This window comes from Homo sapiens, chromosome 8, assembly GCF_000001405.40.
Source record: "Homo sapiens chromosome 8, GRCh38.p14 Primary Assembly".
Classification (NCBI taxonomy): domain Eukaryota; kingdom Metazoa; phylum Chordata; class Mammalia; order Primates; family Hominidae; genus Homo; species Homo sapiens.
In genome coordinates, this window is record NC_000008.11 from 60,677,542 (window position 1) to 60,704,684 (window position 27,143).

General features: G+C 42.9%; 1 protein-coding gene across 10 annotated transcripts in view, besides 4 other annotated features; it reads left to right on the forward strand.

Annotated features, from left to right (window-relative positions):
* Positions 747–1,186: a silencer, noted in NCBI's record as "silent region_19227". NCBI's record gives its function as "represses an Ori minimal core promoter by ATAC-STARR-seq in GM12878 lymphoblastoid cells {active_cell/tissue: GM12878}" and the evidence as "EXISTENCE:reporter gene assay evidence [ECO:0000049][PMID:35858748]".
* The window catches only part of CHD7 (chromodomain helicase DNA binding protein 7), a 189,289-nt gene continuing 163,344 nt past the window's right edge, over positions 1,199–27,143 (forward strand). For 8 of the 10 annotated variants that reach the window (XM_011517553.3, XM_047421945.1, XM_011517555.3 and 5 more), the window contains exon 1: positions 1,199–1,541. The gene's annotated coding sequence lies outside the window, so the exon portion shown is untranslated. Of the gene's footprint in view, positions 1,542–1,953; positions 2,251–2,339; positions 2,698–27,143 lie in introns of those variants that run through there. The other 2 variants (XM_011517554.4, XM_017013612.2) reach the window with 2 other exon arrangements.
* Positions 1,547–1,646: a silencer, noted in NCBI's record as "silent region_19228". NCBI's record gives its function as "represses an Ori minimal core promoter by ATAC-STARR-seq in GM12878 lymphoblastoid cells {active_cell/tissue: GM12878}" and the evidence as "EXISTENCE:reporter gene assay evidence [ECO:0000049][PMID:35858748]".
* Positions 2,307–2,676: a silencer, noted in NCBI's record as "silent region_19229". NCBI's record gives its function as "represses an Ori minimal core promoter by ATAC-STARR-seq in GM12878 lymphoblastoid cells {active_cell/tissue: GM12878}" and the evidence as "EXISTENCE:reporter gene assay evidence [ECO:0000049][PMID:35858748]".
* Positions 25,990–26,069: an enhancer, noted in NCBI's record as "active region_27425". NCBI's record gives its function as "activates an Ori minimal core promoter by ATAC-STARR-seq in GM12878 lymphoblastoid cells {active_cell/tissue: GM12878}" and the evidence as "EXISTENCE:reporter gene assay evidence [ECO:0000049][PMID:35858748]".

Consider the following 27,143-nt stretch of genomic DNA (forward strand, 5'->3'; position numbering starts at 1 on the left):
TTACATAGTTTTGCTATTTTCTCAGTTTATTTTGGAGTCCAGTAATAACCAGTCAGTCTGTACCTGCCATAGGGCAATCTTTGGTTGATATGAGTTCCTTTCCTGATTTTAAAATAAGTGCAATCTTTAACCTAATAAAATTATCTTAAAGTTTACAATTGATGGTTTAAACACATTATAATTGCTCCGTATTTTGCAGATAGAAGAGGCTTAATCCATGTTTGTAGATCTATTTCCTAAAATAAAAATTAGTAAAAAAAAGTTTTTTTTCTTCAGGTTTAACATTCATTTTGTACCGGGAAGAGAAATGGAATAAGAGGCTCGGATTTTTAAGACTATGCAATCAGATACAAGTGCCATTTTGGCCAAAGAATGAGTAAAACATTCTAGTCCCGACACGTTTAATAATGGGCATACATCCTATTTCTTTGTTTCATAATCATTGAGCTCTCTGCCTTCTCTCTCTTTTTTGGTATGGTAACAAATTCGACAAAATCAATGCCATCTAGTTAAACTTTTTGATTAAGTAGTGGATCCGGTGTCCTATCCACGAAGAGGTGGGAAAAGCGATGTGGAGAAGCAGGCACGAACCCATCTGGAATGGAACATGTCCCTTCCGAATAATTTCATGTGGGAAAATAATTTCAAGTTGAAGGATAATTACTGCAGAGACTGCCAGTCACCCCCGGCCGCCGCCGGCCGCGCAGCGTCGGAAACCCTTCGCGGCAGCCAGGAGGGTCGCAGCCCTCCCGGAGCCCCGCTTCCTGCCCCGGGGCGGCGCACCCGGCTCCGGGAAGGTGCCGCGCGGGAGACGTGGCAGCAGCCCCTCCAGTCCGCGCCCGGGCGCAGCGGCCGAGCGCTCCGTGCAGCCGGGCAAGGAAGACTCCGCGGCAGCAGCGCACCGGCCGGCGGGGAGACCCGCCTGAAGCGCCGGCGCCCGCCAGGGGACGGGAAGTGGCGCCCGGCCCGCCCTTGCGGCCCGCGGCCCGCGGCCCAGCAGCTCCGCGCCGCCCCTTTTCTCTCGGCCTCTCCCTCGGCCTCCGCCACCCCGGCCGAATTCTTGCATAAATTATGCCAGGCGCGCCTGACGTCAGGTGGCGGCGCGCGGGCGCGGGCGCGGGCGCGGCGCGGCCCGGAGGGAGCTGGCGGCGGGCGCGCGCGGCCCCGCGGCTTCGGGTGCGCGCGGCGTGCCGGACGCGCGCAGGCGCTGGCGTGCTGGGGCCGCGGCGGCGGCGGCGGCGGCGGCGGCAGCGGCGGCGGCGGCGGCGGCGCGGGGGTTGAGTCGTGGTGGTGCGGACGCGCTCGTGCTCGGGAACTATCGGATTAAACTTGAATCGAGTGAAATTACACAAAGGAGCGCCGCGGAGGAGGCGGCCCGGGGACCCGGACACCCTGAAACTCACCAGAGACCCGTTCGCCCCCGGCCAACTCCGTGCCCGTGGATTCAGCCCCCTGGCCGCAGCTGCCGAGCCAACTCCGGAGCCCGCTCTGCGTTTTGTTTTCCCCTCGGCACTAGGCAGCGGAGGAGCCCGACCGACCCGGTGAGCGCGAGAGTTCGCCCGGCGCCCCCGGGAGGGGCGGCGGCGGCGGCGGCGGCAGGAAATCGCTCCGGGCCGGGGCCGGGGCCGCGCTAGGAGTTGGGAGCGAGGAGTTGGGCGTGTGCGGGGCGAGGGGCGAGGGGCGAGGGCGGGAGGGGGCCGGGGCCAGCGCAGGAGCGCAGCGCCGCCCGCGTAGTGTCGCCGGCGTCGCCGCCCGCGGGGCCCGAACCCGCGCCCCGAGCGCCGCCCGGCGCCCCAACTTTTGCCTGCGTCCGCCGGGCCGGCGGCGGCGGGGGCGCGCGGTGCGGCCGAGGGTCACTTCCTCGCATGTAAATGGCTTTTTGTTGTGCTGCCGGCGTGGGGGGGGGGTACGGGGGACAGGAGGGAGCGTGTCTGCGCGCGGGGGAGCGCGAGCGCGTTTCCTCCCGCCGGCGCCGAGCACGAGTTGCCGGCTCCATTCGAGAGAAAAAGGAAGGAGGAAAAGTTGGGCTCCAACTCAAGTGCGAGCGGGCGATGGGCGCGCGGGCGCGGGGCGGCTGAGCAGCGGCGGCGGCGGCTCGGGGACGGCGGCGACCCCCGCCTCCCGCCCCCGCCCCCCGCTCCGGACCGACCACGCCGCGCTCGCCGGGAGCTGCGGCCGCACCGGCGCGAACAAAGTGCGTTCCTCCCGGCGCGGCGGCGCCAGCCCGCGCGGGGACCGCCACCGAGCGAGGTGGGTCGGCGGCGGGGAAAGTGCGCGGGGCGCCGCGTGGGGCGGGGGCAGCGCGAACACGCGGCGCGGGAGGCGTCCCGAGCTCAGCCAGTGCCGGTCGCGGGCGCGGAGTTGCGAGCCCGGAGTTGGGGGCTCCTGGGGCTCCCCGGCGGCTCCCAAGTGCGCTAGGAGGAGAAGAAAGGGAGCGGGGCCGGGGCGAGCGCCGGGAGGCGCGGCGAGGAGGGGACCCCACCTTGTCGAGCTGGCCGGGCCGCCGGCGGCGGCAGCTGCATAATAGCGACTTTAACCTTCCAACGCAACTCGGCTCCCCCGCCCCCCAACCCGCCGGGGGTCAGCGCCGGTGGGGGGTGGTCACCAGGTGGCCCCCGAGGTGACCCGGGTGCGCTCTGCCCTCGCAGAGAGCCGCGGCTTGGAGCGTGAACGGCCGAGGTGGCTGGAGGCCAAGCGGTCAGCGGGGAGAGGAAAGGAGGGCGGTGGGGGACGCGTTGTTTGTTTGGTTCGCACCGGGGATTGGGCTCGCTGGGGGCGCGGGGCTCGGGCGGGGGCGCGGGCACCGGCTGGGCTGCGGTGCGGGGCGGGCGCGGCGGCGCGGGGCTGTCGAGGTCGCGGGGGGGGGGGGCGGGGGCGGCGGCGGCGGCGGCTCCCGGGCGGGGGTGGGGGCGCTGGTCGGGAGGCTCTGGGGAAGGAGCCGCCGGCCCCGAGCAGCCATCATTACCGAGCCGCCTTTCTCCGGATGGCTCTGCCTCGAGGAGCCCGGAGCCGTGGGAGCGCACCCCAAACTCCCGGCCGGCCGCCCGCTTTGTGAGCGCCCCCGTGAAGCGAGCGGCGCGGAGAGTGCTCCTGCTATGGGTCGGACTCTTTTCCTGGAGGTCACTTTTAGAGACTGCTCACGCCTTGGTTTAAACTAGTTTTTTTCCCCCTCTTCTGAACAGACAATGGACAAAAGAAAAGTAGCAACCCACATGGAGAGAGTTTCCTTTTGAATTGCTAGAATTAGATACACTATCCAGCGCTCCACTTGCTAAGTATACTTTTTAGTTTCCCATTGTATATTATCTAGCAATCGATTTAAATAACTTATCTTAAAAAGTGTCCCTTTTGGGGGCTTAATTTCTGGAATACATTACATGTCTTAATTTATTTTTAAAGGATTTTGTGAGGCCCTGATTTTTTATTTTCTAAAAATTTTAATTTAAGCCGTCTTTGCAGTGGGCGATACCTTTCTAAGGGGTTAAGTGTTATTTCACCCCAGTTCTCTCTCGGTAAGGGAGGGAGTACTCAGTATACGTAGTAATCGAAGAGGAAACAAAATACGTGTCTTTATTTCTTCACTGATCTTGTCTGACGATGACAAAAAATATCTTAGTGACTGTGACCTTAGCAGCATGGCTACCTGATTTATCCCAGTTATAATTATATTTAGATTGCAGTAATGTCTAAGTACAAGGTAATTCCTATTTCAGAAATAACTTGAGCAGTGATTTTACGAAGTTGAATCCTTCTCCCAGCCCCCAGAGTACATCTGTCGCGCAGTGTTTTTGTCTTGCTGTTGCACAACAGAAGCCCTCCAGTCTTTACCCTAAAATGGCAGCTTTCATTTGACTGAGGCCCATTCATTGACAATGATAATAAAGAGGCTGAAAGCTAGATGCTTGGGGCATGGAGTAGGACTTGGTTTGCCTTTCTAGGTGATAAGTAGGAGACATTTTATGTCTTCCAGTTTGCTCAGGAAAAGTTTATTTTCCCTGAAAAATCTGTCTTGTAGAAAAAAGTTATAGTAAAATAATTTGGAAATGGGTAAAGGCTTGAGCAGCAAATTTTAGAAGCTAAATTTTCTTATTTTGCCCAATAGTGGAAATATGGCATTCTCTTTTTTGGTAATCTGCTGATAAAAGGACATAATGGATTTTTGTCAGGCTTGTAACAGGTGAATTTCCTCATGCTGGTACTCAAGAATTGGGATTGTTTTCTAGCACTGTGGGTTTTTTTCTCTTTATATTTTCTAATTTTTTCTCCTGTTCGAGTCACTAAATTGAACCATGATGAATTGTATCCTGGGTCTATGCTTTCGCGATTGAAATGAGTTTTCAGATAAGAAATGAATTATAATTTTAAAAGACTGGTATATGAATTTTAAATTATTATATTCATTTAATCAATGGCCTTATTTTTAAATTAGTTTTTTTAAAAAGTTACTTTCTTTTATATGTCTTAACATGGAAGGCACAATACAGGAATGGTAGAGTGGTTGTACCGGTGATGTTTAAAAACCCAAATATTATTTTCCTCTTTCAAGGAAAGAAATAACTTTTTTTCCCAAGTTGAAAATATGGAAGTCAAATTTATAACAACGTATTCAGTAACTTAGTTTTAAAATAGTACTTTTATAGATTCACCAGTATTTGGTCTAGTTTTTAATCAGTTCAACTTACAGGAACATTTCCTAAACTTTTTTCATAATGAGCCTTCTTTCTAGGTTAGCCTTACTTTTATTGAGTTAAAATGAATACCATGAAGAGTACCTTTATAATACAGTAACATCAAGGAAATGTTACAACCGTTTTTCATACAGATGCGAAGTCAATAATATGTTATAGTTTTTAAGCAGTTAGGTCAAAATAACAGAAATATTTTGTTATGAGAAAATACACTGTAAATGCTTCTGTGTGCCTGCTGTGTAACCCATAAAAGCCATGTAAGTGCCAAGTTAGTGTAGTTCTTTCAAACCTAAGATTACAGCATTGTATTCCATATGCTTGAAAAAGTTTGCTTGCCACACAGTCACCATGCCTTTAGTTAACTTTGATTCAGCAAACCTTGGCAAGCCTTCCATGGTTAAAACAATAAAAGGCAGTACTTTCCTTTAGGGAGTGTACCATCTAATAGAGAGCAGTTCTATAGGTAAGCAAATATTCACATTTGACTTTTAAGATAAACTTATAAGTAATAGTTATCTTTCATCTTTCATTAACTAAATACAACCTTTTGGGTTTGATAGCAGACACCATGGCCATCTTAGAAACATCGAATATAAATGTGGCATTGCAAGAATAAAAATGTTTAGTCAGGTCTGAGCAAATGGCTCTTAAAACTTCAACTTTGTAAGACAGTGATTCTTTTTCAGTAAATGATTTCTACATGTAAAAAGTAAGCACATAGTCACATAGCTAAAATCACCAAAAAGGATGGAGAAGGAACATCTTAGGTGATATTAAGATGATGTCAGCAATATATTGGCTCTGTGGGACCCTTTCAATTGTCTTGTTCACTCATGTGGGCATATTTGTGTATCTTAAAAAAATCTGTTCTTTTCATGCGATTGGAAATTCAGAATTTAGCATTTTTCTAGACAGGTTTCCAAAACCATTATGGTTTCATTAGTTCAGGAGATACTATTTTCCCCTTTCTCTATAAAACTTTATTATTTAGTCTTTAAAAAAATTGTTGACATTCAAAGGTGACTAATGTTAAAATATAAAAGAAATTGAGATCAATAATCGCTTGGTTTTTCTACAAAAAATACAAAGATGGAATGATTTATTTCAATTTGGGTATCACTCAGGTTGCAGTGATGGCAGAGGTCCATAGCTGATTATGGTGGTTGTTAAGAGCTAGGAAGGTAATTTAAAACATCATGACTATGTGTCCATATTTTACTTTTGTCAATAGATTAAAAATTGTAAATGAAATCACATCTGCATGATAAAAAGAAGAAATAGAAACAGGAAGTTGTAATGATGTTGTCAAATAAAAATTCATTTTATCCTTATTAGAGAATGATTGGATATTTAGAGTGTGAGGACCTTAGAGAGCTAGTTGAACTTTCTCATTTTACAGATTAAGAAACTAAAGTCCAGAGAGATTAATTAAATGAACTGCCTCTGACTGGCCACCCACTGTTGCAGAGCTTATCTCAGTTACAGTTGTGTTCCTGGTGCCTAGCATCGTGCCAGTGCAGGAGGGGTGCTGGTCTTGTCTTTGTTGGCTCTGGAAGAGTACAGCTCTTGCTCATGTTCTGACTCAAAGGTACCTTTAGGCTTTAGAATCCTACAGCATAGGACAACATAACTCTTAAAGATGTTCCTAAACCAACAATAATTTGCTTCTGTTTTTGGAGGTTTTTTTTTTTTAACTATGATTATCCATTTAGGAAAAATGCAGAGATAATTATTTCAAGATTTGACAACTGTTTTCACTTTAGATGCATGTATTGATCACCATAGCTAGATTCCTGTTGCATTTTAACTAATGTTAGGTGACTGACTGCAAACATGATTGTTTTTTCAGAGAAGGATTTTTTTGGGGTTTCTGTTCTGCTTTTACTTTGAAAATTAGAAATGTCTTTTTAAAAGTAAAAAATAACGTAGGTATTTATGAAGAAACTTAACTTGTCAGTAAAGGCTGGTTCACTCTCAGGCTTGTTTACCTATGCTAATGTGGAATCTAAGGCACTTTTTAAAGTGACCCTTTGAGCCTTGCTTCCTCTGTGCATGTCAGGATTGGCTTTCACGGCCACAGAATCTGGACTGTGATTAGTCTTCCTGTTTCATCTGTGGTTTTGCTCATTGATTCGGCTGTTTGTTGGGTACCTGCTACCTGAAAGATGCAATGCTATGAATTGTCAATATAGTGATGACATGAGAAGACATGGTAAACTCACACAAAAACTAGAGCTACTGTAAGGTCATAGGTGTGATGCAGTCGGTGCCAGGAGGAGTGAGAGCTTAGGACTTGGGGATTCCGTCAGTTGGGTGGGGTATTACCCCTTAGGAAGTGGCTTTAGCATTACCATCTGAATGATGGTAGAAGAAGGGGTGAGGGCACTTCAGGCAGTGCCCCTCACCTGCAGGGAGGCTGTGTGTTTGAGGCATTCAACTGCAAGATGAGACTCGAGGCAGGCAGTATCCAACTTGGTCAGGGCTTTCAGGATATCAAATTTGGGATTTTTGAAAAAAGCAGTAGGAACCACTGATGAGTGTTAAGCAGCCTTTGACACGAGCAGAGTAGTGTTTTGAAGAAGATTGAATTGGTGGGTGCAGAGAGGACAATAGGTTGTAGACAATATCCTGCCTGCTTTTGTTGTGGTCTGTGGGATGGGGAAATCACAATGATTTGGACTAGATTGGTGGTGGCCATGGGGATGGAGAGAAATGGACAGATTTGAGAGATATTTAACAGTTTCAACGAATAGGACTTGGGGATAGATGCGCTCTCAAGAGGGAGATCTCAGGGCATATAGGTTTCTAGCATGTTCCCTGCTTGGCTGGTTGGCTACTGATCCTATTCACAGAGGCAAGAATCAGATCTGCTGAAGATTTGAGAAGGAAGCTCATGAGTTCTTGTAGCATATGACTGAGGTAGCTGATAATGGACCATGATGACATTGTTTTATCCTTTGCATTGCTAGTGGCATTCCAGAACTTTAAAAAAAGTAATCTGCTAGCTTTAACCAAAAGATATTGGACGTGGGGAGTTCATCAAGGAATGTGAATGGGTTCAGTGAAATGGGAGAGGGGAGGGAAGCCTTACTTGCTGAATACATAGCACTTTGCTTGTTACTTGCCTGATACATAGCACTTTGTAGGAGTTTGCTCATTCCAGGTTGAGCGTAGAATCCTGTGGTAACCAGACCTTGGCACATTTTGTTCTTCTGTATGTCCCCTTACGGAGGCTGCTTTCTGTTGCTAGTCACATATTAGGGCAAGGTCTTTGGGTTCCCGGCACGTGGGTGGCAGGTCCCCCATGTTCTCGGGGCTGCAGTCTCCCTCGGAGAGAGTTGTATTTTAGAAGTTGGTTGTAGTCATACAGAAGCAAGGAAGGAGTGAATACATTATTTAAATAAATGTGGAGAAGAATACCAATGTTTATCAGAATACTTACCTGGTTTTTAGTGGAGTATGTATAAACCAGTTTAATAAGTAAATTACCTTCAAAGTTACTTTGTTCAGTTATTATGAAAAGTAGATTGTAAAGCATGGTTGCCGGTGGCAGATGAGCGATGCTGTTACACCCAGAAAAGCTTCTGAATTGCTGACTTTAATATTATATAAGAAAAATTATGAAAATACAGGACAGTAATTTTGGAGCTTTTTTAGGGAAGTGTTTGTATTTTTGTGTTTGCCAGCTAATATGGGTGATTGCCAGCCAATATGGGTGATAGAACTTTTTGTTATAGATCAAATTTTGTTCTTGTGTGCATAAAGATAACCTTCCTGGGACTCAGTGTCTTTAATTAGGGGTCTGTTTCAAAGATACTTTTATTGTCATTGTGTGTTCCTCATGGGCCTTTCTGGTGGCCATTGTGACTCAGTCAAGTCTTCTGGGTTCCTTCCTGTCTTGTGTTGTTTGTAGGGACATGCTTCATGTGAAAGTTTACCTTCACCTGCAATAGTTTTGAGTGATTATTTGAATAAGCTTAAATTCAGGAGAAGTAATGTTTCCACGTGTGGAATGGCAGGAAAACTTGGTGCACTAACTTCAGCTTCAGATGGGCTTGTGCCAACTACTCTGTGGCAATTTATATCTAATACTATTTCTTCAACTTGCCAGTTTTTCTTAAAAAAAAAAAAAAAAAACTCTTTAAAATACATTCTGTCATTAGGTCCAGCCAGCAGTGTATTCTTAGGGTGTAAGAGATCATTTCTAAGAGGTGTAGACATCGAATGGAAAGGCGCATGCAGGCCCCTGTGGATGTGGCTTTAATGGAAGAATAGAGGGGATGCTTCTTTGGGGCCTGCCTTCTCTCCTGGCATCTGCAGTGGCTGAGGAGGCAGCAGAGGTCATGTGGTGGATTTGAGTTTTCCACCATGTATTTCATCAGGATGAGGTTGGGCAAATAGCCATCTGCTGCTGAGCAGGGACCGCGTGCGACCTGGGTTTCCACACCCACCCTTTGTGTAGGGAAAGGTGTGCAATTAGACACATGTGTTAGGTTGGACACATCACCTCCTTTCCCTAGTATCCTCAGTGTAAAACAGTCAGATTTCTATACCATATTTGCAGTATGTCTAAAAAAGGGTACATGGCACCTTACTAGTTAATTTTCTTTCTAGTTCTGCAGCAAGTTTGGGGAACTACTTTAACTTTTTAGAGGCCACTGTGTCCTCTTTTCATCATTTTGAAAGAAACCACAAACATTTTATTTGTTATCCATTTTTGTTTTGTTTCGTTTTCGAGATGGGGTCTCACAATACTGTCCAGGCTGGATTCTAATTCCTGAGCTCAAAGGCTTTTCCTGCCTCAGCCTCCCAAGTAGCTGGGATTACTGGCATGCACCACTGTGCCCTGTTATATCAACATTTTAGAAATCTGTCTGTTGATATTTAAAACATAATTAGCAAATGTGCATATTATTTCAACACACCTAAAAACTATTAAACATCTTTAACATAATACTAAGCAGTCATAGTGAGAAGTCCCTCGAAGAATTATAAGCATGCCTTTAGTTTCCAAGGCAGTGCTTGCTAGCATACTAAGTGAATAATAAAATCAGTTTGAGCACAGGAATATGATAAAAAAAAAATACCCCAGTTGGTGAAGTATTTTGAAGTGTATGAGCCTAGCAATTATTTATGGTTAGAACTGGCACTATATTGAAATTGTTGAGCCCATATCCTTAAATAATTTTTTAAAAGTCTCTGTTAAAGTGTTTTATGTTCTTGTATACTTGGCCTTGTTTGTGCTTGAAATTTTGCTTTCATTAATCTCAAGTGTACCGATCTTGCAAGAAAAATCATACATATTCATCTTGAGAATTTCAAAATCTTGATTAACAGTGTACCCCACCCTGAAGTATATGTTGGGCCAATCAAGTAAAATAGTGCAGAAATAATAAAACAATATTAAAAATAACAGTAATAACCATAATGACCGGCTGTTATTTCCAGTTGGGTAGTTACTCAGCTGAGTGTTGTCATGGATCATTTCATTTCCTCATCAGAGCAACTCTAGGTAATAGGTAGAACTATTATCCCCATTTTACAGATGAGGAGACTAAAAGGGATGAGAAGTTAAATTACCCAGGGCCATACATTTCTAGCACGTGGTGGAGGAGGAATTTGAATCCAGATGAGCTAGACTCCACAATCTGTGTACATAAGCATGGTGCTGCTGTTGCCACGTAGACCAGCTCTGGAGCTTGCATTGTTGCCGTCTTAATAGACAAAGGTGTGTTAAAAATACCCATGCCATGCTGTGATGCTACCTATTGCTGTGTCTTACCAGCCCAGGCTATTTTTTTCTGTACTTCCTCTGTTGGTGCCTGCTGTAGTTGTGGGGCCATATGTCATGGGATGTCTTCGTACCTAAAACGACCAGGTCCTTGCCTTTCACACTTAAGGCCCTTCTGCTCACATGGAGATGAGGAGAAGAGTTGTTCTTGTGGAGGTTGCCTTCTGAGGCGGCTGAGAATTTGAGTTTTGATGTCGGACAGATACGGGTGTGAATCATAAAAATGGACATAATACATTCTCCTAACTGCCCAGGGTTATGGTGAAGGTTAAGTGAGGCACTCCAGCTAACATACTTGGTATAGCATATGGCATATTCATTGAGTGGTTACTATTTTTATTAGTTCAGTTTAATCATGGAACTTATCAAATCATATGTATTGCTTTTACTTTTGTTTTAAAAAGTCCCTCAAACCATAATCCTACAGATGACTGGACAAGAATGAGTGGCCTAAAATGGTGACTGGCTACACAATTTTCATTTTTCTTCAGGAGAAGACATTTGAAAATAACATCTTTATGTCCTTTGTCCATCAGTGCAACCAGATGTTATTTGCCTAATTCTCTTGTTGATTATATAGAGTTGATTCAGATATCCCAGGTACTAAAAGTGACAGGTTTGAGGGAGTGCTTATCTCTTGTCCTGAAGATGTTCATCTCCTACCAGAGTTATGGCTGTCCTTCTAGTGAAACAGTCATTTCTTCTTTGTCCCAAATCTGCAATTCTCCAAACATGGTGGGTGATGTTATCCTAGATGATCAGTGGTGTAGGCATGTTTGATCAGCTCTGGGATATTACGGTTTTCTGATTTAGACCAGAGGTCACAGGGTGTTCTCAAAATCTATAGGAGCTCCAGATCCTCAAATCTCAGAAGCTTTGATTCCTCAGTCCCTTCCTCCCAAGTTCTCTTTACCATGTAAAGAGGAGACAAGATGGTATCTGAAATGGGAGTAGGCTTGGGTTGGGGTCAGGGATGTGAGTAGCAACTAGAACATAAGAAGGTTCTTAGGAGAGGGAAGGCTCTGGGGTAGCCTACTTAGAATCTCACTGCTACCCAGATTGGCAGGGAAATGGAAGAGATGGAGTATAGACAATTTTCATTTTATTCTATTCTATTTCTTTACTTGAAAATGACTTGGAATAACAAAATAAGTGAGTCAAAAAGTAAATAACTGGTAACGTGTGGATTTATGGGAGATCCTTGTACTATTCTAACTTTACTGCAAGTTTGCAAATGTATCAATATCAAAAGTTTTAAAAGAACAGTAGCTCCAAGGGGTTGATGTCAGTAGCTAACATTTATGGAGCATAAAGTTTGTGTCAGTTAGCATTTTGCTAAGCTATTTACATGAACTATTTCTGCTGAATCCTAAAGTAGGATTAGTCAAAATGCTGAGGTAGGAATAATAATTGCTATTTTACAGGTGAAGAGGTTGTTTAATAAATTTGTCTAAGATCATAGTTTTTAATGAGTAGTGTTGGGACTCAAAGCAGGACAGGCTCATTTAACAGCCTGTAGCATTAACTGCTCTGCAGAAATTGCTTTGGATAGTCCCATCAAAATAACCTAGGTCTTAGAAGGATAGGAACAACAAACATCATGATCTTACACACCTGCACTTTCTAGCACCAGCTCCTGGAGAAAAATCGAGAGGCTGAATGGTGTCTGTTAACAGATTATAGTCAGTGAGGCCTCTTTCCTCAGATGTTGTATCTTATCAATGGCAGACATTTTCAACCTGAAAGACACATGCTCATTACAAGACTTAGTAGTGCTCTAACCCTGTTTTCACTTATCAGTCCAAGACGTAGCCGACATCAAAGTATTCAGCTTATTACAGAATTGACTTCCTCAAAGTTTCTCTCAGTGTTTATCCAAGATGTAATTCACTTAGCATCTTTATCTCGCTGCACAGGACTAGAGTTGCCTTCGAAAAAACTCAGGATACCACTTGGCTATAGATCACAGTACTTGTTCCTCGTATTTGCGTTAACTTGTGTGAATATGCAGCCTCCGTGAGATATTTGCATACTGCTTCTGTGAACACACAGGACAACAGACTGTCTTCCGCAGTCATACACTCAGTCATATTCTCAAATAGGTATACAGTTCAAATGTATAAATCAGTAGTCTTACATGTTACAGAGTGGGTGGATGTTCCTTTGCCAGGGGATTAAAAAAAAAAAAATCCCAAGTCTTAATACTGCTTTCTCCCACACGAATAGTCTATGATGGTGTATTTTTGGATTTTGTACATGTTTATAGTTTTTTTCTTTTCACAATTTTGAATAAACTGTTGACTAGCTTGAGTATGGTAAGCCTCTACTTAAAATGTAAATTTTGCTATTTTTGGTGCATTTAATATTTTAATATTTGTCTTGATTGTGTTAATTTTCAGAGCTGTGTTTATCACCAGATTTAGTATGTTAACTTTTCAATGTTCCCACTTATTAAAAAAAATAAAAAAAATAAACATCTGGGCTGGTGTATGAAGCAAACCTCCAGTTTTATAGGGAACTTTGTGGCTACTCTGGGGTGCTGAGAGCCTTCCATTTAGCTGCTAAAGGCCAGCAGGATAAGGAAAACTGTCTTATATGCTGTCAAATACATTAATAAGGACACAATTCAAGGACATAAGTAATTTCCCCACACTGTGGAGCACACAGGTGGTGATACTGCTGTAGCTGAATTGCTGGCTGGCAGTCAGTGCCACTGCCATAGCACCACAATTTTCATTTTTGTTGTTGTTTTACTGTTGTCTCGGTATGGTGAATGGTTGGGCTATGGGAGTGGCACAGAAACCCAGGCCGTACCTAGCAGAATGGTTGACAGTCGCCGACTCCCTGTCATTTTCTGCAGCTCAGTATTTTCAGGTCAGGGAGCTGCCCATGTCATTTGCATCTTTCTTTCTTTCTTTCTTTTTGACGGAGTCCTGCTCTGTCTCACAGGCTGGAGTGCAGTGGCGTGATCTCGGCTCACTGCCCACCTCCACCTCCTGGGTTCAAGCAATTCTTGTGCCTCAGCCTCCTGAGTAGCTGGGATTACAGGTGTGTGCCACCACTCCTGGCTAATTTTTATATTTTTAGTAGAGATGGGGTTTCGCCATGTTGGCCAGGCTGGTCTCGAACTCCTCACCTCAGCTGATCCACCTCGGCCTCCCACAGTGCTGGGATTACAGGTGTCTGTGCCCAGCTGACATTATTCTTTATGGATCACTACCATAATAATATCAACAATAATAGTGTCTTTATTTGGCAAACCTGTAACATGACTCTTTACTTCTTTATAACACTGCTTCAGCCTGCTATTGATCTAGTGAGTGATTTGACTTGTTTCACCTAATACTAGGCGAGAGGTAAGAAAAACGAGTCTTTTTATTCAAGGCATTAAAGCATTAATTCATATATTTATACAGTTTACTTGTGCATCTTTTACTCTCCTGATACACTACTTCGTGTAAGGAACCCCCATCCTCCTTTTCTCACTGTTTTGAGACAGGTGCTTAGAAGGTGCTTGTCCATTATCCTCCAGGCAGAAAAAGTAAAGTCGTAGTTGGTACTTGAGTTGCATGGGGAGGAGGAAATGATTGTCTCTGAGCCTGGGCTTCTGCCTCAGTCCTGCAGCTAATGTTCTTACCCACTCCTCCCTTCCACCTCACCAGGATTAAGAAGGTACAGAGTTGTTTTGCGGAAATAATGCATCCATTGGTCTTTAAGGAAGATTAGAATAGTGAGCTGGACCGAGGTAACTTTCTTACCTGTTTTCTCCAAGAAACTCGTAAAGTGTGTTTGTTTTAGATTATTTTAAAGACCCTGTGGAATTTGTAAAAAGTTTATCTGGTAAGCTTAGAATGCCTGAAAAAATAGATATTTATTGGGAGTTAGAATTAGACAGTCGCTTAGGGTGCTTGTTAAAAATGCAGATTCCTCAACTCCACACGAGATTTATTGAATTAAATCTCCCTGGGTCATCTAGAATCTGAATTTTTATCAAGGTGCTTCTGATGTACTCTGAAACTTACGAAGCAATGTGGTTAGACCAATATGTTATGCAATGAATGTACTTTGGAAATACGAAAAATTTAGAAAATGGCAAGGAATATGCTTGTCCATCATTCATATTATAAGAATTGCAAAAATTCTTACAGTGTATTTTGGAATATTGCAAGTTATGTTATTCTCTTGCATGTAACTGAATGAATGTGGCTGCTGTTTGACACACTAATTACTATAAAGGTGAAGATGGATGACTGATTAAGCGTTTGAAACCATAGTCTTTAAAGGTGGTGCTAAAAGGGTAGAAGATAGATTGCTTTGTATTTATTTGTTAAATTTTATTTTCATTTCTACCACTGAGTAATTAAAAGCTTGTTTTGTATATAGTTCTGGTTTAAATGGTACATGTCTGCCAAACTAATACATTTGTTAAGCTACAGTAACTATTTTGGGGCAACCATTTCAAGCCAGTGTTATTTCCACGGGCATATAATACATTTAAAATGAGAATCATCTTAAAAGGTAATTTAGTGAGTGGGTTAGTGCTTTCTTGGAGGACTTGTTAGCATAATTTCGTGTAAGACAGGATGCTTATATGAAAGGCATAAAGGAAGCACATAAGGCAGCTTTTTTCCTGGCCCTTCCCCCATTCCCCTCCCTTTTGGATAGAGGCCATACTGACCACCCCTCTTCCTGACACTTCAGGTTATCCTGGACCTTGGCCGAAGGCGTCATTAGGGTCCTGAGCTTTCCCTTCCATGCTGCCTCAGTTGCTTATTCTTTTTCTTCCTACCCCCTCAATATAGCCTGTTCTCAGGGGTTTGATCCTGGCATCCTCTGGGTCTAGTTCAGGCCCACAGCAACCTTATTTGCTACTAACTCCTACGTCTGTATTCTTATTTCTCGTATCTCCCCCAAACTCCTATCCTTAATGTTCCCAATCTGTTTAAACCGAAGTCATCATAACAACTCCTTCTTCCTGCAAAAGCATGAAACAAAAGTGTGAAACTTCAAGCCCAGCCCTTTCTCTTGAACTTAGGCTCTGCACTGCAAGTCTGCGCTGGTGGTGTCAGGTCCTGGCAACCCAGCTGATGGGCTGCTCCAGACTCCACTTCCTGTGTCCTGGCCTGTTGGCATCTTTGTTCCCTCCACTATGTTGTGCCCTCCGCGACACCCCCTTGGCGGTCAGAGCGCAGTCCCAGGCCTGCTAGGTCATTATGGTCACTGTCAACTTGCACGGTTGGGGAGAGTACAGCAAAGACCCATGTTAGGGGGACCCTTTCCTTGCTTCCTTCCTGCTCCCCTGTGGAACAAGTCCCTGTCTGTCTGCTGCACCCTTTAGACCTTGCCACCCCATTGCTCCTGCCGCTCAGCCTTCCTTGGGGCACCTGCAGAGAGAGGGTCCCCCCTCCAGCTCTGCTCCTCTGGCAGGGCTTGTGGGGTGCCTTCCACAGGCAAGACCTCTGTTGCTGCTGAGCCCCAACAGTTTAGTGTCCAGGCTCCCTGTCTTGGGCAGGGCAAGGTTGCCCTGTGCCTGTGGCCTGTCCTTCCCTGGCCTCCTCAGCTATCGAGCCCCTGCTCAGCCCTCTCCCAGCTGGATTAGAATGTGGGTGGGAAGAGGAGGTGAGTTATTCTGGCCTCCCCAAACCCATTACCACATTCCTGACATCTGATTGGAACACATTTTCCCATGGTAGCTTTATTATGGTTAGGCACTGGCGGGACACCGTGGGTTAGCCTAGTGCTTTTGTAGGTTAACACAACAATGTCAATAGTATAATGTTATATCCGAGGGAAAGTGATCCAACTAGCAGCTGAAGGCCTTTTGGGGAGGAGCTGCTTTCTCCTGTGAGCCCCCATGGGGAACTGTCCTGTAGAGTGTCATGCCAGCACCATGGAACCATTTGGTGGCACAAGCATCAGAGCAGTCACCTGCCTTGCCAGTGGGCCCTCAGGTGGGTTTCAGAAAGCTGGGTCTATCCAGACTCATAAGCGTGAACTTTTACATAAAGAACCATGACTGTGGCAATTCTAAGAAGGACTTTAATGAATGCAAAGGCATGGCCACTAAAGACAAGGAAGGAATTCAATAATGTTTTCAGATTGACATCTCTAAAGAGCGAATGGCAATTTCGGTGTGAGGCTTATAACAGAATCTTTTTGGCTTTTGGAAATGTAGATGTGCCTGGTGAAAAATGTTATTAACTTTTTTCAAAGATAAATAAGAACCATGAGCAGGCAGATCTTTAGTCTGTTGCTACTAACTTGTCGGTATAACTTTAATGTTTGTGAAGGTGTGCAGATGTGAGATTATGGCTTTGCTAAGCTCTGTGGGAGATACTAAAAATGTTACTTCTAGCTAGGTAGAGCAGGTTAACACACTTATGACCCTGTGGAACAGGATAGCACAGTCTGTAATTAAGTGCTAAGAAGGCGTGATGTGTTGTAGTCATTGTATAGTGGAGAAAGAAATCAGAAAGCGTGACTTGCCCTCTCCTTTGATAAGTTAGAGGAACTGAGTGATAATGTGAAAAAAATCACGGAGAGGCTGTCAGCCAAGGGTCCTGGCAGGGAGCAGGTGGCCAGCCCAGAACATCCTGCAAGGACCAGGGCAAGAGCCCTTTGTCTCTGGTGTCCTCCTGGGAGGGCAGCTTTGCAGGAGCTATGGCCCCCAGGGAGAGCAACACAGCCACTGCCACCCCCTGTTGCCCTCCCCACCTCAACCTTCAATTCAAGGACCAGTCTTCTGGGACTCAGGGAAGATCAGTTAGCCTGCCCTGAGGGAGAGGGGCAGCAGGTTGGATAGATAGGGAGAGGTTGAGCAGTGGTGAAATTGGAAGCTTAGACTGAGTGAGATTCTGACTTATATTACGTGATGGAAATGGAGTTGAAAGGTTAGTTTGGCAGCATGTGATGGATTGCGGTTGAAGAGAGACTAGAGGCAAAAAGTCAGAGGCTGTTGAAATAGCCCAACCAGGAGGTGGTAGAGCTTTGGCTAGGCGGGGAAAATGGACTGAGAGAGGAAAAGACACAGCCATGGACATTCAGGGTGGGGGGAAGAGGGACTAGGAGCCTGGCATGGAGCGGAGAATAGCTTAGAAAGCCTCCTTTCGAGAGAAGTAAGGTTGACATTTGGAACTTAGATTTGATCCAAAATAGAAAACATTTGAGCAGGGAGAGGTGTAAAAAGATCACCTTAGAAAGGTTTAGAAATAAAGCTACTCCATTGATAAAGGTCTGCAACTTACAGTTCAAGAAAATAGGTATCTAACATTTAAAAACAAGTTTTAAAATAAACTTCTTATAAAAATGATTTTGGAACATATAATTTGACATTGTTTTTATAAATATCCTTATAACATTGGGTACAGTCAGAATAATAGGACAGAATTTGATATTAGTATTATACTTTCAGAATCAAAATAGCACAGTGATAATAGCACAAGAGGGCTACAGAAATGCAGGTACTAGAAATTGAAGTTTATCATCTTAGCATACTTGACCTTTCTTTTGGAGGTGTGTGTTGTAGCGTTGGGAAGCATTGTCTCATGTTTGATGCTTTAGCAACTCTAATACTTGTGTATGGGTCTACTAAAAAGGCGCATCAGCATGTTCTGTGAGAGAATACAACAGAGAAGCAATTGCAGTCTGAAAGAAAAGCAGTCAAGGATATAAGCAGGTAATGTGTGGAAAGCAAACTTAATTGTCAATAAACACAAAAATTTCCAAATTATGGAATAATTTAAAAATGCAAATTAAATTAAAATGATATACTTCTCCTCATTAAATTAGCCAAGACTTAAAAATATTCTTTATGCTGCTAGAATATGGTGAGACCTGCACACTCACTGTTGCCTGAAGTTTCATAAGTATAAACTTCTTTTTTTGTGAAGAAAGTAGAGACTGTGTGTATAAAGATCTTTACAAATGGCCATTCCTGTGGTATCAGTCATCTATCCCAAGGAAAAATCTAAAATCCAGTCAACTGTTATAAGCCACAGCATTTCTTTTTGACATTGAAAAATTGAGAATGGTGAAATTTATGCTGTAGTCATGTTAGAATATCATGCAGGCACTGAAAATCATGTTTTTGAAAAATGTGAAGCTTGAAAGAGTACAAAAGAACATACTAACTGTATCATGATTAGTTTTATACAAATTAAATTTTTACTTTTTAATTTTTTAAATATTTCTATGACCAGGTGTCTACAACAATACAAATTAAATTATAAACATAAGAAAAGACTAGGGGAAATACATCAATTTAAAAAATTATTAGTTTCAGGGATTGGCAGTTTCACTTAATTAAAAGCTACAATTCCACAGTTAAACAGATGTGGTTTGAATCTGCCTGACCGCTTAACTGTGTGACCTTGGATAGTGACTTACTAGTTCTATGTGACTTACTAACTCCATGACCACAGGCCAATTACTTAATTGATCTAAGACGCAGTTTCTTCAGCTGTGACATGGGAGCAGTAACAGTACTTACTAGTTCACAGGCTTATGTGGATTAATGCAACAGTGCATCTAAAATGCTCCAGCAGTGCTTGTTGCATCATTAGCACACAACTAATGTTAATTATTTGGATTGCAGGTAGTTTTTTTTTTTTTAATTCAGTCTTTCTACTTTTTAAATATTCTAAATTTTATACTGCAAGGATTGTAAAACTCAAGAAACTCTCTGATACTGTATATGGAAGGAAGGACTCTGACAGTTTTTCAGTAATTTTGTGGTATAGACAGGAAAATCTTTTTTTAGGTACCATAATTTTCCATAATTTTAACCAGCGATATATCTGAAACAATACTTTCAAATTTTGCATGTTTTTTTTTTTTCTTTTCTAGATTGCTTGGCAGTTTTGGCTTTTTTTAATCTCAAAGAAATTTTGTTTTACAGTAAGTTACGTTTAATTGGAACCTCCCCCACTTTTTTTTTAAAGTTTCCTGAAATCAAGGAACATAAGAATAATTTTTAAAAATTTTCTGTAGGTGAGATCTGAATTTGATTAATATTAACTGCACATTTAGCTCTCAGATTTCAGACCGATTTAGTGTTAGCTTCTGTGCATCTCACCTAATTGTTAAAATATGTGAGCATGATTTTGATATTTGGGAGGTGGAAGAGAAGCCTCTTGAGACTTTTGAACTAAAGTTAAACAGTTTATTCTGTCTTGGAGTTAGTTGGTGTAGGTTAGTAGGAAGACTTTAACATCTGGAGCTCTTTCACCTTGGAATTGTATCTTTCTCATGGAAGAAACACATTTGAGCTGCAGACAGCCTGGAAAAGCTTTCAGGCTATATTTTCTTCACAGGAGGGCAATAGCTTTGCACTTATAATAAAATAGCTTCAAAGTTTTTGTCTCCTTGACATTATGTTACCTTTAATTTACCCTCAAACATTATTATATCTTCTATAGCAAACAGAGGAGGATAAGAAAAGGAAAAACAGAGACAAATTGTTAACATTATCCCCAAAATAATAAATGGGTTGTTGGTAACATAAGACTTGAAAACCATAGAATCCAGAATATATGCAACTTCATTTTATTACTGTATTGCATTAAATTTAAGATGGTGTCAGTTGTAAGATGTATTCTATTTCTGATACATTGAAATGCCAAAAAAAAGTCGTGGAATTGATGAAATCTAGTAGTTAAATAAAAAACCACAAAAACCTCAGTTTGCAGTCACCTGTATTTTTCAATTTGGTGTATGGAACAAAAAGGACACTCACCTGAATGCATCTGAAATTGGAACTTAAATCTCTAATCTTTAGCAAAAATATGTCCCAGCTATGTATATCACTTTAATCACACGTGGTGCCACCTCTGATCTTGCTCCTTATGTTGTGCACAGCACGTAGAGTACAGCATAGGTGGACTCATGAGTTAGGTGTTTGAACATGACCCTCCTCAGCTACTGGACCAAATGTAAACAGTGGTCAACTTTTTATAGTGTTAATCTGTCAGACTGCTGTCAACACACTGGGTACCATAAAACAGTGTCACCAAGACTGTTCCACAGGAGTGATGCCAAAAATCTATTAAAACTCACAGTAAAACAAGAAATGTACTGCTAACCACTTACAGCCTGACTTGACAATTATCAAGTATTTGAGTATACATTCTAAGCTTCACTAGGCCAGTGCTTACCTTGTACATAAGCAAAAGTAGGAAAATGAATGGTTCCTGTTTGTCAGAAGTTTAAAATCAAATTACTCAGCAATACAAAGCAGGGAAGGACCCCCTTTACCTTTCTGTATCGAGGATAATTTGAGAGGATTTTTGCGTCAGTTAGGGTGAGGCCAATACAGGAAGAATATAGGGTAGGTGGACCAATTATAATGATGTCAGAGAATCCTCCTCCACCAGCCATAGGAAAGAATAATTTCATATAAAATGATAGCAATTTAAAGATTTCTCAAATATATAATTAGAGGTTGGAGGAGGTAATATGGCATAAAGGTTAGAGGCAAGGGCTCTAGAGTTAGACTGCCTGGGTTCAAAGCTTAGTTGCAGTACTCTCTGCCTTTGGGATCTTGGGCAGATAACCTGTTCCTGTTTTCTTGCTTATAAATAAGGTAGCTGATAGTCCCTTCCTCAATGCCTGGCATATTTTATACCAAACATTCATTGAATTGAACTATAGTTAATATTGTTAAGGCTTGCTTTGTTTCTTAGTAAAGAGAACATGGAAATGAGCAGTGTAAAGATTTGCAGAGCCTTGATGTCTAGTGGTATGACTTGACTTTTCTTCTCTTCTCTTTCTCTTTTTCTTTTCTTTTTGAGGTAGGGTCTTGGTCTGTCACCCAGGCTGGAGTGCAGTGGCACAGTCACAGTTCACTGCAACCTCTGCCTCCTGGGCTCAAGTCATCCTCCCACCTCAGCCTCCAGAGTAGCTGGGACTACAGGCACATACCACCATGCCTGGCTAGTTTGTATATTTGGAGAGATGGGGTTTCACCATGTGGCTCAGGTGATCCTCCCAAAGAGGTGGGACTACAGGTGTGGGCCACTGCCCTGGCTGACTCTGGAGCTTTCAAATAAACATGGTACATAACACATTTCTTGGTGTTATAGTGAACAGTATGCAACTTGAGAGCAATTAGATATTAGCATATTTAAATAAAAGATTGTGAAAGTATGATTGTGGCAACTACCTATAGAACATTTTGCTGGTGGTATCTTGGTCAGAGTTTTCTAGATTTTCCCATGTGTCATGTGGTTAAATATGTAGTGGTTTTAACATGGCAGTGTGGATTTAAGATGAAGTGTAGGAGCTGTGCTTTGTATGAGATGACAAGGGCATATCTATTTTGTTCCATAGATTTATTTGTCTGAGGTGATATAACCCAATATCTTAATGTCACCAACAAATTATGTGATCATCCAGAAGAACTGAAATGATTTCAAACATTGATGATTTAACTGTTTTGTTTCTAATCACCTAGAGGGAGCCAGCGTAATGTGATAGGTCTTATTTTATTACATTTCACTTAAAAAAAAATTTTTTTTTTTTTAAAGCCTGGGGTAGCCTGTTCTGGAGCCAGCTCTGTCTGTCCCATTGCTATGGAATATACTGTAGCTCCTCTATTTCCTTCCCTAGAGCCTCTCAGTACTCTTGGATGAGGTGGGAGAAGCTGTAGAAAATTATAATAAATAGGGCAAGACCTTAAGGAGTTTCTAGTCCATCTCCATTTCTACCCCATGCTCCCAGACTTCACGTGTCATCCGTCACATTCTGCTCTCACCTGCATAACAGGTTAGATGGCATTGTTTTTTCTTGTTTATTGTTTGATAACTTGATATTATTTCTTTTTTTTTTTTCTTTTTCGAGATAGAGTTTTGCTTTTGTTGCCCAGGCTGGTGTGCAATGGCGTGATTTCAGCTCACCACAACCCTCCCTGGTTCAAGCAATTCTCCTGCCTCAGCCTCCCGAGTAGCTGGGATTACAGGCATGCACCACCATGCCTGGCTAATTTTGTATTTTTAGTAGGGAGGGGGTTTCTCCATGTTGGTTTGGCTGCTAGGCTGCTCTCGAACTCCCGACCTCAGGTGATCTGCCCTCCTCGGCCTCCCAAAGTGCTGGGATTATAGGTGTGAGCCACCGTGCCTGGCAACTTGAGATTCTTTCTATGGAAATATTTTAAATTCCAAACAACCAAATTTTAGAAGATCATTATGAATGAAACTAGATACTAAATTAGTACTTGGTGATTGCTTGCCTTAGGCTCTTTCTAACCATATTGGCTGCTTTTCACCTTCACAAAATGTTAGAAGCTTACCATCTTAGAGTAATTATAACTGCTGATGATTGTTCTGGAGTAGGTGTATGTTACTTAACAGGTTGTGGAGCTTGCCAGTTGATGCTATGTTGAGAGTGTGCTGACCTCACAAGAACTAAGATTTCATATATATCTCAGTCCAAACTAGAAGATAAAGACAATATTAAGCCCCAAGGCATCAGCACCACGGAAGATTACTACATTTGGCCTAACACAATGAGACGATGCCATGATGTTAGGTGACTGAATAGTTGGTAGCAACTATTACGTTGCTCATTTTAGGCAGCAACCTAAAAGTCCTGCCTGGTTGGGTGCCGGCTGGTGCCCATTTAGCCAGTCACATGGTCTGTCAACATGCAGCTTTCTAATGCCAGGTCTGCTGTTGGCAGCCATTGGAGGCAGTATAACCTAACAGTTAAGAGTGGGTCCTGCAGTTAGAACCTGGTTCTAATTTAGACTCCTCACTGTACCATAGTATTTTGGGAAAGCGACTTAAGTTCTGAAGAGGGCCCAGTGCCGGACACACACACTGTAAGTGCAATGAGGACGATGATGGCAGTGAGACGTCAGGGGTACAGCTTTGGCAGGTTGTCACTGCCTCAGAGCACGGTGCTTCTCACAAGTGGCACGCTGCTCACAGAGCACAGGCTGCTCATTTGAATTCTGTCTCAGGTTTTGAGCTGAGTGAGGTTGTGATAACGTTATGTTTGAGTTGGAAAGTGAATACAAGATACATGCTGACTTATACTTGATGCAATTCAGAATCTGTTATGTGAAAGTAACAGGTAGCAACAATCTGACCAACTCAGCAGACTGTAGGTACAATTTTTAAAAAAAGATTCACAACTGATACATCTTCGTGAGCAGCAGCAACAGTTTAGTCACTGTTTCCAAGAGAGAGCTGTGTGTAAAATGTTCACAGGTTATGTAGTACTGAGTGTGCAGTAAATGGTCATCATGGTAGAAGAGATCCCGGCTCAGATCACCAGTCTTTTCAGTCACATGGATTCATTCATTTGTGGAAAGTCTTATAATCAGTATCTTTATTTGCGGACTGTCCCTTTTGTTTCCCAAAATAAGTGTAAGTCCTTAAGGTTAGGTGGATTATTTTTGCCTCTGTTTTTCTAGCTAGTTATACTTGGATGGTTGGTTAGGACAGATGGGATCTGCTAGTTTTAATGGAAAGGGGATTCCTTACCTGAAGATTAATTGTGGCCTCTCCACTTACACAGTCATTAGAGTGTGGATTACTTTATTGTATCATAGTTCTTTCTTTTATGTAACTGTCTACCTTATATAATGGGAATATTTCCTGATATTCTTTTCTTGGACACCTTTTTATCAGACAATTACAATTTTTAAAGAGTGAATTTTATTTGGAAAGGTAGGTTTGGGTAAGGAAAAAACACTGTTGGTTTGAAAGGTATCTGGTTTAGTAACAGTTCCATGTGAACTTATGAAATATTTTTAACCTTCCTGGAGATCTTGAAAAGTTTATCCTGCACTTTTTTTGGGGAGAGGCAGCCATCATCATTTTGGCTTGTTTAATTTTTCTGTAGGGCACATGTGTCTTGATGTAGGGTTGTTTTCTGCACCCAGTGCCAATCCTTAAGTTCTGGTGTTGTGCTCTGCAGAGTCATGAGGAGTGGAGGCTGTGCCTCCCTGCAGTGGTGTTTTCTGGAGGTATTATAGAACAAAATAGAGAAAAAACATGGACTTTAAAAGTAGTGGGACCTATAATCAAATACCAGCTCCTCCACTCACTAGCTTTGTGATTTGGGAAGACTCACTTAATTGCTTTCAGTTTCCTCATTTACAAAATATAGGCAGATAATATTCAGGCATAGTTGTGAGGATTATATGGGGGCAGGTGGTGTGTGGGTGGGTGAGAGGGTGTATGATGCAAAGCCCCTAGCGCAGTGCTCTTTCCACAGGGAGCACTTACTAAATGTTAATTACTTTTTCTTCTACTTTAATACTAATTTTCTAAATGTGGTGGGTATATAATCTGGAAAATATAGGATATTCTTATTTTAGATGTTCTTTCTTGTTAGACTAGGTATCCCCCCTACTTTTTACTTTGGTGTAAATATAGTTATTGTATTCATATCACATGTTGTGTCTTATAGCTCTTGTTTTGGTTTTCTCTGACTGTCCTTTCCGACTTTACAGAACAACTGGAATCTATGTAGTCCCTTAAGTAAATAAAGCTTTTAATGCTAAGACTGTCAAGCAATAAGCCTGTGAGAAGGTGGAGACTGTGATCTTGGTTGTAAACTTAAAAACGAAATCTCTTACACCAGTCTTTTCCCTGTTACAGCTTTCTAGTTGCTGGTGAATAAAATGCAAAAGTGACAAAGAATTTGCATATATTCTTAGGGACCAATAGCTTCGTTTTCATAGTGAATCTTATTATCTTTTGCTGTGTAACAAACTACACTGAAACTTGGTGGCTTAAAAGAGAAGCCATCTATTTAGCACATACTTTTGTGGGTTGGCAGTTTGGATTGGTTTCAGCTGGACTCACCCCTGCATCTCTGGTCAGCTGGTGGCTGATAGTTAGCTGGGGCCATATGTTTGCATGTGAGAGAGAGTGAGCGAGAGAGCGCCACATATTCCAGCAGATTGGCCCAGGCTTGTTGACATGGTGGCAGAAAAGAAGGCCGCTCTGGTGCTCAAGCACTTTTCATATCTGTTTGCCTGAAGTTTGCTATTGTCTCTCTGGCCAAAGCAAGTTACATGGCCAGGCAGTGTAGAAGGGAATACTTCAGGGAGGCCCAACATATTTGGCCACCACTGCGACCATCTTCTACAGAGAATGTACGTCACTCTCTCTTTCTCCTCCTCCTTCCTTTTTCTTATTGTGGTAAAATACACATCTTAACTATTTTTAAGTGTACAGTTCAGTGATACTAAATGCATATTCATAATGTTACGCATCCATCACCAGCATCCATCTCCATAACTCTTGTAAAACTGAAATTTTATACACATTTCACTTCCCCACATGTGCATATCTCTTAATTCTTCTGTAGAATGCCTTTGACCAGTGATTGGTCATATAGCACCAGAATGAAAGGCCTGGGGAAGAACATGTTAAAATTCATCGCTTTCTCTTCCTCTTATTGGTCAAGGTAGGGTTATGGATAGGAAATGAGAGAAGAAAACAAAACAAAAACAGAAGACTACTTGTGCTTTCATTTTCCACTCTCCCCCCACCACCCAACTGAAAAACCAAATTCGTGATACTTCAGTAACTGGAACCATGAAACGCTCCCATTTTGTTTAGCCACATTATAAAATTAATGTTACATTTCTGTCTGTGAGTACAAGCTGATCCATGATCTTGTCCCACCCCTTTATGGAAGGACTGTCCCGCCAACAAACAGCCCTCCCATCCTGGGATCATGTTGGCAGCTGCTTTGGATTTTAATTGACTAAACTGGCCACCTTCCCTCTATTGAGCCAGCTACCAAGCCTGGTCTGTTATTCTGCTGCATCTCTGAAACAGCTCATAAACTCCTACCTCTCCCTGAGCGAAGTCAGATATAACTTCACTCTGCCAAGTGAATCTTGATTTAACCATGCCTCAGTTCCTGGATCCACAATGTAAAACTTTCTCTTAATCTTTCAAGGCCCTCTGCTTGCACCCCCTCTTTCATCCAGTTCTTTTGTTCCTCTCCAGTGTTGCCCAGCTCCACTTGTGCCATTCTCTGACTTATGCCATCTTAGGGCTTTTTTCCCCTGATGCTTCCCCTGCCCCTTTAAAAAAACACTCCTGTTGTTAAACCTACTCATAGAAAAATTTCTCCCTTGTTTGAGTTTCCTCAGTACTCATGTCATATATTTTGTCTTACTCTTCCCAAGTTATTGGCTATAGAATTTATCGTTTTGTGTTTATTAATCCAAAAAAGTATTCATGTATATCTGTGGGCTGGGCACCATGATGAGTGTTGGGGATGCAGGGGCGAACACAGTTATACCATGTGCCCAAGGCTGGTGGACAGTGGGCCAAATGACCACACAAACCTGTGTAAGTACAACTGTAATAATTGCTTGAAAAAAAGGAGCAGTGATGTCATGGAGTGGGTAACAGAGGCATTTAACTTAGTTCAGAAGATGTAGAAAGACTCACCTGAGGAAGGCAAGCTTGGGCTGGGGTCTTCTTGCCCAAAGGTTCTGCGGCTACACTGGGAGAGCTTGGTCTGTACCCCAAGAGCAATGGGAAGGAGTTACTCTGGTTGCACCATGTGCATAGATTGGAAGGCCTGGAAGGGGAAGACCATTGCATAGTCCAGGTGAGAGGTGGTAGTGATTTGATCTAGTGTGGTGTGGTCCGGCTGTAAGCAGAAGTGGGTGGGTCTGAGAAAGATTTAGCAGG